Source organism: Homo sapiens, chromosome 16 (assembly GCF_000001405.40).
Source record: "Homo sapiens chromosome 16, GRCh38.p14 Primary Assembly".
Lineage (NCBI taxonomy): Eukaryota > Metazoa > Chordata > Mammalia > Primates > Hominidae > Homo > Homo sapiens.
In genome coordinates, this window is record NC_000016.10 from 69,171,568 (window position 1) to 69,186,072 (window position 14,505).

Sequence of the window (14,505 nt, forward strand, 5' to 3'; positions counted from 1 at the left end):
AACTTGGAATACAAATGAAGCAGAAACTGACTAGGGCAAGTTAGAGAAATTGGGGGAAGGGAAGGGAGGGGAAAGGAGGGGAGGGAATGTGAGGGGAAGGGACTGTGGGAGAGGGGAGAGGAGGGGAGGGGATGTGAGGGGAAGGGAAGGGAAGGGAAGGAAAACCAGTATTAAAAAAGGGGAACGCTTTAGTGCATGGGTTTCAGGGTGTTTTTACTTTGGGGGTTTGTGTAACCTAGACATTTAAAACGTTTCCCTCTTGGCGTTATGTTTCTGTTTTGGCCATTTTGCATACCTCTGCTCATTCTTGGGTTCTACAGAAAAATTCTGATTTGAAACCAGCCCAGGAACGGTCTTTTTTGCCAATCTGACTCAAATGCTTTAAAAATTCACTCTTCTCATGTACTGGTTAGTAAACTAATCTCTGAATGGATAATTCACATGTACCGTGGAGAGTATAGCAAATTCAACTAAGAAGAACTAAAATCTTGGAATATTGGAAGATAGAGACCATCAAATTTGGGGGTTTTTAGGCTTTCTTTTGAGCATCAACCTTTCTTTAAATGGTACTTAATACCGAACCACAATGTATGCTGTAGATAAAAATGAAGTTATTCCTATTGGGTGGAGATGAAGCAGGAGTTTGTAAAAGAAACGTGACTCTCAGTCTCATTTTTTTTCCTTTTTTTTTCTTCTTTTTTTTTTTTTTTTGAGACAGTCTTGCTCTGTCACCAGGCTGGAGTGCAGTGGTGCGATCTCGGCTCACTGCAACATTCGCCTTCTAGATTCAAGCGATTCCCCTGCCTCAGTCCCAAGTAGCTGGGACTGCAGGTGCCCGCCACCACGCCCGGCTAATTTTTTGTATTTTAGTAGAGACGGGGTTTCAGCATGTTGGCCAGGATGGTCTCAATCCCCTGACCTGGTGATCTGCCCACCTCGGCCTCCCAAGGTGCTGGGATTTCATGTGTAAGCCACCGCACCCGGCCATTCTCATTTTTACAGTCTTGGAAATGGGAGATCAAGAAGGGAAGAGGTAATTTTTCCCATAGTCACACATTGATTTGTTAGAGGCCAAGGTGGCATTCTTCAGCTTATTCCCCCACTATCTCAGTTATAGGACCCTAATCATAAATATGATTGTCAGAAGCATTTGAACCAAAGCAAATGTATCTTGAATAGGAGCTAGGTAAAATGAGGCTGAGACCTACTGGGCTGCATTCCCAGACAGTTAAGCCATTATGTCACTGAATGAGATAGAAGGTCGGCACAAGATACAGGTCATAAAGACCTTGCTGATGAAACAGGTTGCAGTAAAGAAGCTGGCTAAAACCCACCAAAACCAAGAAGGCCGCAAGAGTGACCTCTGGTCGTCCTCACTGCTACACTCCCACCAGCGCCATGACAGTTTACAAATGCCATGGCAACGTCAGGAAGTTACCGTATATGGTCTAAACAGGGAAGGCATGAATAATCCACTCCTTGCTTAGCATATCATCAAGAAATAACCATAAAAGGCTGGGTGCGGTGGCTCATGCCTGTAATATCAGCACTCTGGAAGGCTGTGGTGGGCAGATCACCTGAGGTCAGGAGTTCCAGACCAACCTGGCCAACTTGGTGAAACCCCGTCTCTACTAAAAAAAAATACAAAAATTAGCTGGGCATGGTGGCACACACCTATAGTCCCAGCTACTAGGGAGGCTGAGGCAGAAGAATCACTTGAACTGGGCAGGCAGAGGTTGCAGTGAGCCGAGATCGCACCACTGCACTCCAGCCTGGCGGCAGAGTGAGGCTGTGTCTCCAAAAAAAAAAGAAAAGAACCATAAAAATGGGCAACCAGCCTTGAGGCTGCTCTGGCTTTCCTTCACTTGCTTAATAAACTTGCTTTCACTTTACCAACTCGCCCTGAATTCTTTCTTGCATAAGATCCAAGAACCCTCTCTTGGGGTCTGGATTGTGACCCCTTTCCTGTAACATGATGATTAGCAGGCATGATACACAAAGGATTTTCCGTTTCGTAGGCTACAGGGAAGGTGTTTGAGCACTTGATCTAGCTGTAATATTGAGTTATGTGGGCAGTCTTTTGTGTTAGTCATATAGAGTGTAGTAATGTACAATCTAGGACATTGTCTCCTGGTGCTCATGTCTGGGTGTTTCTTGGGCCAGTTCCTGGGTGTGGCTCATACTGTGTCCATTTTCTTTCACTTTTATTTGGCCTTCGTACTGGCTGTTTTCCCATCAGCAGTGTTTGAAAGTATTTGTTTCCTTATTCCTTACCAATGTATTGGCAGACTAATTTTAGCCTATCCAATGGGTGAAAAACGCTATCTCATTTTACTCTGCATTTCCCTGTTTACTAATGAGGTTGCTCACTTTATGTGTTTGGCTGTTTGGCCAATTGCATGAATTACATATTCATAACCCTTTCTCCTTTTTTTCCCCTAATGTGTTGTCTTTTTCTTTCTTTCTGGTTTGTTTTTTTTTTTTTTTTTTTTTTTTTTTTGAGACAGTCTCACTCTGTCACCCAGGCTGGAGTGCAGTGGCGCAGTCTTGGCTCACTGCCAGCTCCGCCTCCCGGGTTCAAGGCATTCTCCTGCCTCAGCCTCCTGAGTAGCTGGGACTACAGGCGCCTGCCACCATGCCTGGCTAATTTTTTGTATTTTTAGTAGAGACGGGGTTTCACCGTGTTAGCCAGGATGGTGTCGAGCTCCTGACTTCGTGATCCGCCCAGCTCGGCCTCCCGAAGTGCTGGGATTACAGGCGTGAGCCACCGTGTCCAGCCGTGTTGTCTTTTTCTTTTAGTATTTCAAGGTATTTTATGACGTAGATCAGCACTGTCCAATAAACTTTCCGTAATGATAGAAAAGTAGGCCAAGTGTGGTGGCTCATGCCTGTAATCACAGCACTTTGGGAGGCCAAGCCGGATGAATCACCTGAGCTCAGGAGTTTGAGACCAGCCTAGGCACCATGAAACCCCGTCTCTACTAAAAATACAAAAATTAGCTGGGTGTAGTGGCGCATGCCTATAATCTCAGCTACTTGGGAGGCTGAGGTGGGAGAATTACTTGAGCCTGGGAGGTGGAAGTTGTAGTGAGCAGAGATCATGCCACTGCACTCCAACCTGGGTGACAGAGTGAGACCCCTGTATCAAAAATAAATAAGTAAGGCTGGGCACGGTTGGTCCACGCGTGTAATCCCAGCATTTTGGGAGGCCGAGGCGGGTGGATCATGAGGTCAGGAGTTCGAAGCCAGCATAAGGTGGCTCATGCCTGTAATCCCAGTGCCTTGGGAGGCTGAGGTGGGCGGATCACGAGGTCAGGAGTTGAAGACCAGCCTGACCAACTTGGTGAAACTCTGCCTCTACTAAAAATACAAAAATTAGCCAGGCATGGTGGTGTGTGCCTGTAATCCCAGCTACTCAGGAGGCTGAAGCAGGAGAATCGCTTGAACCTGGGAGGCAGAGGTTGCAGTGAGCCGAAATCGCACCACTGCACTCCTGCCTGGGTAACAGAGCAAGACTCCTTCTCAAAAAAAAAAAATTCTGTTCTTAGTCACACTAGCAACATTGCAAGTGCTCAATAGTCACATGTGCCTAGTAACTATCTTACGGCATAGCACAAATAGAAAACATTTCTGTTTTATTTATTTATTTATTTTTTGAGACGGAGTCTCACTCTGTCGCCCAGGCTGGAGCGCAGTGGCACCATCTTGGCTCACTACAACCTCCACCTCCTGGGTTCAAGCGATTCTCCTGCCTCAGCCTCCCAAGTAGCTGGGACTACAGGCATGCGCCACCATGCCCGGCTAATTTATATATATATATATGTATACACACACACACACACACACACACACACATATATATACACACACACACATATATATACACACATATATATAATATATATGTGTGTGTGTGTGTGTATGTGTATATATATATACACATATATATATTTTTTTAACTCTGAACTTTTTATTGGCCTCCTGCTCCTCAAAGGGTACCCTGCTTCTGCTGGCTTAATGCCTCAGAACTTTGGTGTCGTTGGTCTCAGACACCACTTTGCCATCCACTGTCTGGCGGGTGGTGGTCTTTTGGATGGTTTGCAAAAAATATGGAACGCTTCACGAATTTGCGTGTCATCCTTGCTCAGGGGCCACGTTAATCTTCTCTGTATCGTTCCAATTTTAGTATATGTGCTGCTGAAGCGAGCACAATTTTTATATTTTTTATAGAGACAAGGTTTCACCATGTTGGCCAGGCTGGAACTCCTAACCTCAGGTGATCTGCCTGCCTCAGCCTCCCAAAGTGCTGGGATTACAGGTGTGAGCCACCATGCCTGGCCAGAATTTTTAATTTTAATTTAAATAGCTACATGTGCTAATAGCCTTCATATTGACCAGCACAGATCTAGATATTCAGGCTTAGCTTTGTGTCAGTTCATTGTCTTTAGGAAGTTATAGAATTTAGTAACAGCTATACATTTATTGAGTGGCTACTATATGCAACTCACCAAAAACAGAAGAAAAATACAGCCTCAGCCCTCAAGAACTATACCGCCTAGAAGGGGAGAGAAGCAAGTAGATCAGTCATGCTACATGAGGTCAGGTACAGTGGCTCATGCCTGTAACCCCAGCACTTTGGGAGACCAAGGCAGGAGGATTCCTTGAACTTGAGACCAGCCTGGGCAACACAGTGAGACCCCATCTCTACGAAAACATTTTTTTAAAATTAGCCAGATGTGGTGGCACATGCCTGTGTTTCCTAGCTACTCGAGAGGCTGAGGTGGGAGACTTGCTTGAGCCTGGGAGGTTGAGGCTGCAGTGACCTGGGACCACACCATTGCATTCCAGCCTGAGAACAGAGCAAGACCCTGACACACAGACACACACACACACACACACACCACACACACAATAGAGTGGTTTCCACAGAAGGAAGCTAAGCAGTTTAGGAAAGTATGTGGAAAAGACAAGTTGTTTTGGATACAGAGTCCTTGAGCCAACATGTAGTGAGAAATAAGACCAGTTGGGGTGGGCCTTCCAGTCTGTGGTCCAGAATTTTCATTCAGTGGAAAACACAGCTGTGAGTCACTCACACATTCAATGGAATGACAGTAAAAATGCCCATTTGTGTAAGGGGCAGAAGAGACTGGAAGTTAGGGAGGCAAAAAACAGGCTGTTGTGTAGGTGACGGGGGGTCTATGTTAGGGCTGCCATAACAAAGCACTATTGGGATGGCTTCAACAACATAACTTCTTTTTTTTTTTTTGGAGACAGGGTCTGGCTCTGTTGCCCAGGCTGGATTGCAGTTGCTCAATCTTGACTCATTGCAGCCTTAACCCCTGGGCTCAAGCAATCCTCCGGCCTCAGCATCCTGAGTAGCTAGAACTACAGGTGTGCGCCACTACACCTGGCTAATTTTTTTTTTTAATAGCCCAAACTGTCATTTTTTCTTTTTCTTTCTTTTTTTTTTTTGGAATAGAGTCTCACTCTGATGCCCAGGCTGGAGTGCAGTGGCACGATCTCAGCTCACTGCAGCCTCTGCCTCTAGGGTTCAAGCACTTCTCCTGCCTCAGCCTCCCAAGTAGCTGGGGTAATAAGTGTGTGCTACCACATCCAGCTAATTTTTGTATTTTTAGTAGAGATGGGGTTTCACCATGTTGGTCAGGCTGGTCTCAAACTCCTGATCTCAAGTGATCCACCCGTCTCGGCCTCCCAAAGTGTTGGGATTACAGGCACGAGCCACCGCACCTGGCCTTTTTCTTTTTTTTTTTTTTTTTTAATCAAGGATCTATTTTTTTGTAGAGATGGGGTCTCACTATGTTGCCCAGGCTGGTCTAGAACTCCTGAACTCAAGCAATCCACCTGCCTTGGCCTCCCAAAGTGCTGGGATTATAGGCGTGAGCCACTGTGCCAGACCAGAAATTTATTTTCTCATAGTTCTGGAGGCTAAAGGTCTGAGATTGAGATCAAGGTGTCAGCAGGATTTTTTGTTTGTTTGTTTGTTTGTTTGTTTTTGGTGGTGGTGGTTGTTTTGAGACAGAGTCTCACTCTGTTGCCCAGGCTGGAGTGCAGTGGAGCAATCTTGGATCACTGCAACCTCCGCCTTCCAGGTTCAAGTGATTCTCCTACCTCAGCCTCCTGAGTAGCTGGGATTACAACCATGCAACACCATGCCCAGCTAATTTTTGTATTTTTAGTAGAGATGGAGTTTTACCATGTTGGCCAGGCTGGTCTTGAACTCTTGACCTCAAGTGATCTGCCAGCCTCAGCCTCCCAAAATGCTGAGATTACAGATGTGAGCCATCGTGCCTGGCCTTGTTTTTTAGCTTTTTGTTTTTTGGTAGAGACGAGGTCTTGCTATATTGCCCAGGCTGGTGTCGAACTCCTGGACTCAAGTGATCCTCCTGCCTCCTGATGTGCTGTGGTTACAGGCATGAGCCACCACGCCAGGCTGGATTGGTTTCTTCTGAGGCCTCTCTCCTTGCCTTGTAAATGACCATCTTCTCCCTTCATCTTCCCATGGTCTTCCCTCCATGCATGTATCTCTGCCCTCATCTCTTCTTATAAGGAAAACAGTCAAACTGGATTAGGGCCCACCCCAGTGACCTCATTTTAACTCAGTTACCTCTTTAAAGATTCAATCTCCAGGCTGGGTGTGGTGGCTCACACCTGTAATCCCAGCACTGTGGGAGGCCAAGGCAGCCGTATCGCCTGAGGTCAGGAATTCGAGACCAGCCTGGCCAACATGGTAAAACCCCGTCTCTACTAAAAATACAAAAATTAGCTGGGCATGATGGCAGGCATTTGTAATCTCAGCTACTCGGGAGGCTAAGGCAGGAGAATTGCTTGAACCCAGGAAGCGGAGGTTGCAGTGAGCCGAGATGGTGCCATTGCACTCCAGTCTGGGCAACAAGAGGGAAACTTCATCTCAAAAAAAAAAAAAAAGAGGCCGGGCACGGTAGCTCACGCCTGTAATCCCAGCACTTTGGGAGGCCAAGGCGGGCGCATCACGAGGTCAGGAGATCGAGACCATCCTGGCTAACACGATGAAACCCCGTCTCTACTAAAAATAAAAAAATTAGCCGGGCGTGGGGGCAGGTGCCTGTAGTCCCAGCTACTCGGGAGGCTGAGACAGGAGAATGGCATGAACCCAGGAGGCGGAGCTTGCAGTGAGCTGAGATCAGGCCGCTGCACTCCAGTCTGGGCGACACAGCGAGACTCCATCTCAAAAAAAAAAAAAAAAAAAAAAAAAAAAAAAAAAAGAACTGGTGAAGGGGGAAAGTAGACTTTTAATTTAATTTTTATTTTTTTATTTTTTTTGAGACAGTCTCGCTTTGTCACCCAGGCTTGAGTGCAGTGGCACGATCATGGCCCACTGCAACCTCCGCCTCCCGGGTTCAAGCGATTCTCCTGCCTCAGCTTCCCAAGTAGCTGGGATTACAGGTGCCTGCCACCATGGCTGGCTAATTTTTGTATTTTTAGTGGAGACAGGGTTTCACCACGTTGACCAGGCTGGTCTCGAACCCCTGACCTCAAATGATCCACCCACCTCGGCCTCCCAAAGTGCTAGGATTACAGGCGTGAGCCACCGTGCTGGGCTGACTTTTATTTTTAGATATTATTTGAATTTCATGACAAATTATGTAATTTCCATGATTGTCAATAAAAAAAAGAAAAAAGAAAACACTGGTGATTTTCCGTAACTAAGTGGATTCAATGAAACTAAACTTCTATTTAGTGTGTCCTTGCTAATATTTTCCTTTAAAAAGTCACAGTGCTACAAAACTGTCACCAGCTGCTGCTTATTAGGAATGTGGTTAGCAGATGTGGGTTTTCATAGTCATGCTGTATGAGATCGTTAGTCCATTTTTGCGGGTTTCAGATGGTTAGTGATTTATCTTGGTGGGATGAATTAAAAATGTGCTTGCATCAGCTAAAGGACATATGCACCTTTCTCTCTTTCGTGACATGTTTGTGCTGGAGTGAAAATATATTGCAGGATATTTCTACTGGAAGGTAAAGTAGTACTATTCATTGAAAAGGATAACTGATCCTGCTGCCTTCTTAGTGGGGAAGAGTTATGCATAGATAATTTTTCAAAGCTGGATGTTGGATCAGTTATTTTATAAGCTTATTTCTCCCTTTGGCTTCTTCCTTAGTAGTAATTGAGTGGCTCCTGCTTTTGTTCCTCTGGCATCAGGCCACCTTTGTGGCAGTGACCTTCAGGCTTGCTAAGGGCTGCAATTTTGCTTGAGGCCCTCCTTCCTTATGAAATTACACAACACTCAAACGTTGGAACCAGCCCCAGATCCACTAATTCTTTTCCTTTGACGGACTCTTGGCAATCTATACTGTCTTTCAGCCAAAGTGTAGCTTTATACAAGATCTGTTTGTCACCGAAATTAATTTGGCCATTTGCCCTTTAAGCATGGCATCAAATGGTGTTATGGCATACTCATTCCTAGATAAAGTATAGACTAGCAGCTGGAGAGTTTCTTTTTTTTTTTCTTCCTTCCTTCCTTCCTCTTTCTTCTTTTCCCTCCCTTCCTTCTTTCCTTCCTTCCCTCCCTCCTTTCTTGCTCTCTCTTCTCTTCCCTCCCTCCCTCCCTGCCTGCCTGCCTCCCTTCCTCTCTCTTCCCTCCCTCCCTCCTTCCCTCCCTTCCTTCCTTCCTTCCTTCCTTCTTTTTGAGACAGGGTCTCACTGTGTCACCCAGGCTGGAGTGCAGTGGTCTGATCACAGCCCACTACAGCCTTGAACTCCTGGGCTCAAGTGATCCTCCCACCTTAGGCTACCTAGTAGCTAGGACTACAGGTGCCCACCACCACACCCAGTTAGTTTTTGTATTTTTTATAGAGATGGGGTTTTGCCACATTGCCCAGTCTGGGCTCAAGTGATCCTCCTGCCTCGGCCTCCCAAAATGCTAGGATTATAGGCTTGAGCCACTGTGCCCAGCCAAGAGTTTCTATCAAAGGTTTTATTGTTGGTGCTGCTGAAAGTCAACTGGTAATAACAGCAATGGGTACTCATTTATTTATTTATTTATTTATTTGAGATGGAGTCTTGCTCTGTCCCCCAGGCTGGAGTGCAGTAGCACGATCTCGGCTCACTGCAACCTCCGCCTCCCAGGTTCAAGCAATTCTCCTGCCTAAGCCTTCTGAGTAGCTGGGACTACAGGTGCATGCCACCATGCCCAGCTAATTTTTTTGTGTGTTTTTAGTAGAAATGGGGTTTTTGTATTTTTAGTAGAGATGGGGTTTCACCGTGTTAGCCAGGATAGTCTCGATCTCCTGACCTCATGATCAGCCCGCCTCAGCCTCCCAAAGTACTGGGATTGCAGGTGTGAACCACTGTGTCCAGCCTTTATTTTTTATTTATTTTTATTTTTATTTTGTTATTTACTTTTTGAGATGGAGTCTCACTCTTTCGCCAGGCTGGAGTGCAGTGGCGCAATCTCGGCTCACTGCAACCTCTAACTCCCTGGTTCAAGCGATTCTCCTGCCTCAGCCTCCCGAGTAGCTGGGATTATAGGCATGCACCACCACGCCCAGCTAATTTTTGTATTTTTAGTAGAAACGGGGTTTCACCATGTTGGCCAGGATGGTCTCGATCTCCTGACCTTGTGATCCACCCGCCTTGGCCTCCCAAAGTGCGGGATTACAGGCGTGAGCCACCGTGCCCGGCCCTTTCATTTATTTTTTGAGACAGAGTCTCACTCTGTTGCCCAGGCTGGAGTGCAATGGCGTGATCTCAGCTCACTATAACCTCTGCCTCCTCAGTTCAAGCGATTCTCGTCCCTCAGCCTCCTGAGTAGCTGGGATTATAGGCATGCACCCCTACACCAGGCTAATTTTTGTATTTTTAGTAGAGACAAGGTTTCATCATGTTGGCCAGGCTGGTCACAAACTCCTGGCCTCAAGCGATCTGCCTGCCTCGGCCTCCCAAAGTGCTGGGATTACAGGTGTGAGCCACTGTGCCTGGCCGCCATTTCCTTTTTTTAGAGGTAAAGTAACATGACTCTTCAAAGAGTGATCATAGCTTGTCTCACTGTCCTTAAGAAACTGTGGAAACAGATGTGCGCTCTTTTTATTTCAGATTTCATTATCCACAGTAAGTAGATTTCCACTGACTCCTTGAGATTTCCTAGATGGTAATTTTCACTCTGCAAGGAACCAATAACCTTCAGAGGAATTATTTGAAAGGACTATAGCGCAGAAGGCACTGAATCTCAATCAATCATATGTTTAATGAGTTCCTTCTCTGCAAGGTAATCTTTTTGGAATAGTGGGGAATAAATATAAGTTGATGGGTGGTCCCTGCCCTCCTGTAGTTTATAATCTACTTGGCCAAACAAGCCAGGAACAGAATTAAATTGTTCAAAGGAAAATTCCCAATGAACTGAGGAGTCAGGCAAAGCTGAAATGAAAGCTTGCTAGGTGGTAAGGGAATTCGGCCGGAGGAGGCAGGAGGTGTCTGGAAAGAAGGACTTAGACAACGTGCAAGACATCATTGGGACACATTGACTGAATGAGTTGGGCTCATCTGAAGGTAGTGATGAAAGGCAATGTTGAAAAGTTCATTTCGGTTCTGATGGAAGGCCTTGCAGATACAGCTTGACAGTTGGGGGATTTTTTTTTTTATGGACATATTTAAAAATAATCTTTTTTTTTTTGAGATGGAGTCTTGCTCTGTCGCCCAGGCTGGAGTGCAGTGGCACGATCTCGGCTCACTGCAACCGCCACCTCCCGGGTTCAAGTGATTCTCCTGCCTCAGCCTCCTGAGTAGCTGGGACTACAAGTGCATGTCACCACGCCCAGCTAATTTTTGTATTTTTAGTAGAGATGGGGTTTCACCATGTTGCCCAGGATGGTCTGGATCTCCTGACCTCGTGATCCCCCCGCCTCGGCCTCCCAAAGCTCTGGGATTACAGGCATGAGCCATCATGTCCAGCCTGAAAATAATCTTTAAAGGAAAAATTATCAAGTAATCCCAATACCAATCTATCTCCATTAGCTACTTCCAGGGTTAAATATTTTGTTATATAACTTGCTGTCTTATGTAAGTGCCCTCACTATTAGTTAGCAGATCTGTGACTTACTCCAACTCTATTGGCAAAAAGGTCTTGATAGTCTTGCAGAGAATTCCCAGCACTTCCCTTCTGCTAATAAAGGTGTCCTCAAGTGCCCAACTCCTGGGTAATTACAAATGCAAAAGTGTTAAAAATAGCACTCATACTCTAAGGAATCAGCTGCGAAACACTCTCTAATAAGCAGAAATTTCACATAACTCAGGCCTCTGGGGGCTCACGCCTCAGCTGGAGCAGAGCCAGAACGTCTGTGACCGCAGGTGCACTTGGGCACATTGGGACCTGCTGGAACAGCAAGCTGGCCTCTGCAGTTGATTTAGGAGAGGGCTGGAGGGTTGAGCTTTTGCTGACATTTGCAGCTTGGAAAATCCGACTCCACTAATCGCAAAGAGGATTCTGCTGTAATGATTTTTTTTTTGGTAAGATACTTTTCTCATTTTGAATTCTTTCTTCATTTGGGCTCTGGACACTTCCCAGCCTCTACATTTATTATTTTAACTTCTGTTACAGGAGGCTCTTCAGAAGTTTCTGCCTGCACATGAACATGCATTCACAGAGTGGTGCACGGCCACGGTTTACGAGCCTCAACGTGCACTTCATGAGCAAGCAAGTTTACAGCCCCTTTTACAGGAATTGGTGCACATTCCCTCTGCTTGCCCCTGTCCCTGCCCACATGAAAACACAGGGATTTTTTGCTACTACTGCTGAAGAAAAGTTAGAGGACACCTTGACCTCATGATTTTGCTGAGCACTTGCTTTCTTAACAGTGTGCTTTCTGGACCCTTAGTTTATTTTTTATTTTTTTAATTTTTTTTTTTTTTGAGACAAACTCTTGCTCTGTCGCCCAGGCTGTAGTGCAGCGGTGCGATCTCGGCTCACTGCAACCTTTGCCTCCTGGGTTCAAGAGATTCTTGTGCCTCATTCTCCTGAGTAGCTGAGATAGGGGTGTGTACCACCACACCTGGCTAATTTTTTTTTTTTTTTTTTTTTGTATTTTTAGTAGAGATGGGGTTTCACCATGTTGGTCAGGCTGGTCTTGAACTCCTGACCTCAAATGATCTGCTTGCCTCACCCTCCCAAAGTTTTGGGATTATAGGCATGAGCCACTGTGCCCAGCTTGGACCCTTATTTTTGAGGTCTGAAGGGTACTGTATAGTGAAAATAACCCTGGATCCAGAGGCTGGTAGTCCTGAGTTGTCTCTGCCTCCTTCCTATGGACTTTGGGCCATGGTCTTTGGTCTTTGGCTCTCTGGCCCTCAGTTTTCTTAGCTCTTCTAGTCCATGAAGCTGGAGGAGGTGGGTGGGTTGTATCATTCATGTCTGAATAAAAGCCACTGCAGGCTCTGCAATGTGCACAGCAGTGGCTCATGGCCTTTGGTCAGGGAAACTTCCTGCCAATTGGATGAATCACAGGCTTCAAAAAAATACCTTAGAGACCAAATTTTGCATACAATTTTTGGGAATGCCCACGTACACTTGCCCCAACAAAAGGCCATGGCCTCCAGGCTAAGAAAGTCAGATCTGCGGCCAGGCACGGTGGCTCACGCCTGTAATCCCAGCACTTTGGGAGGCCGAGGCGGGTGGATCATGAGGTCAGGAGTTCAAGAACAGCCTGACCAACATGGTGAAACCCCACCTTTACTAAAATACAAAAATTAGCTGGTGTGATGGCACGCGCCTGTAATCCCAGCTACTCGGGAGGCTGAGGCAGGAGAATTGCTTGAAACTAGGAGGTGGAGGTTGCAGTGAGCTGAAATCAAGCCACTGCACTCCAGCCTGGGTGACAGAATGAGACTCCATCTCAAAAAAAAAAAAAAAAAAAGATCTATAAAGTCAAGTTCAAACTCCTCGATATTTTGTTATGCTTTTCAGCTGGGCGTGGTGGCTCATGCCTGTAATCCCAGCACTTTGGGAGGCCGAGGCGTGCAGATCACCTGAGGTCGGGAGTTCAAGACCAGCCTGGCCAACATGGAGAAACCTTGTCTCTACTAAAAAATACAAAATTAGCCAGGCGTGGTGGCACATGCCTATAATCCCAGCTACTCGGGAGTCTGAGGCAGGAGAATCGTTTGAACCTGGGAGGCAGAGGTTGCAGTGAGCCGAGATCGCGCCATTGCACTCCAGCCTGGGCAAAAAGAGTGAAACTCTTGTCTCAGAAAAAAAAAAAAGATGCTTTTCACACTCATATCCTCCCATTTCCACTGACCCTATGCTCTGTTCACATTGGAATTCTAGCATCTTCCTAAGTAACCATCTATGATGTTAATTTTGTGTCAACTTGACTGGGCTAAGGGATCCCCAGGTAACTAGTAAAACATAACCTCTGGGTATACCTGTGTGGGTGTTTCAGGAAGAGATTAGCATTTCCACGGTAGACTCTAAAGAAGATCACCCTCACCAATGTGGGCAGGCAGCATCCAGTCAGTTGAGGGCCTGAGCAAAACAAAGGGCAGAGGTAGGGGGAATTCATTCTCTGCCTGAGCTGGGACATCCATCTTCTCCTGCCCTCAGACTTTGGTGAACCTGGCTCTCGGGCCTTGGCAGTGGGATGGTGACTTACATCATTGTCCCCCCACCCCAACTCCCACCCTCACCCCCTTCTCAGACTTTCTGTTTTGAGACAGGGTCTTGCTTTGTCACCCGGGCTGGAGTACACTGGTGCGATCTCAGCTCACTGCAACCTCCACCTCCTGGGTTCAAGCAATTCTGCCTCAGCCTCCCGAGTAGCTGGAATTATAAGGGCCCACCACCATGCCTGGCTAATGTTTGTATTCTTAGTAGAGACGGGGGTTTCACCACATTGGCCAGGCTGGACTCGAACTCCTGACCTCAAGTGATCTGCCTGCCTCGGTCTCCCAAAGTGCTGGGATTACAAGCGTGAGTCACCGCGTGTGGCTCAGACTTTTTTTTTTTTTTTGGAGATGGAGTTTTGCTCTTGTTGCCCAGGCTGGAGTGCAGTGGTGCAATCTTGGCTCACTGCAACCTCTGCCTCCCGGATTCAAGCGATTCTCCTGCCTCAGCCTCCTGAGTAGCTGGGATTGCAGGCGCCTGCCACCACACCTGGCTAATTTTTTGTATTTTTAGTAGAGACGGGGTTTCACCATGTTGGCCAGACTGGTCTATAACTCTTGACCCCAGGTGATCCACCGCCTTGGCCTCCCAAAGTGCTGGGATTACAGGTGTAAGCCACTGCACCCGGCCCAGACTTTCTTTTTCTTTCTTTCTTTCTTTCTTTTTTTTTTTTTTTTTTTGAGGCAGAGTTTTGCTCTTGTTGCCCAGGCTGGAGTGCAATGGTGCCATCTCAGCTCACCGCAATCTCTGCCTCCCAGGTTCAAGCAATTCTCCTGCCTCAGCCTCCCAAGTAGCTGGGATTACAGGCATGTGCCACCACGCCCGGCTAATTTTTTGTATTTTTAGTAGA

General features: G+C 46.5%; 1 pseudogene, besides 1 other annotated feature; it reads right to left on the reverse strand.

Moving 5' to 3' along the window:
- Nucleotides 1,339-1,633: an enhancer, noted in NCBI's record as "tiled region #12307; K562 Activating DNase matched - State 5:Enh". NCBI's record gives its function as "activates a minimal TATA promoter and a strong SV40 promoter by Sharpr-MPRA in K562 cells {active_cell/tissue: K562}" and the evidence as "EXISTENCE:reporter gene assay evidence [ECO:0000049][PMID:27701403]".
- RNU6-22P (RNA, U6 small nuclear 22, pseudogene) lies at nt 4,105-4,210 on the reverse strand (annotated as a pseudogene).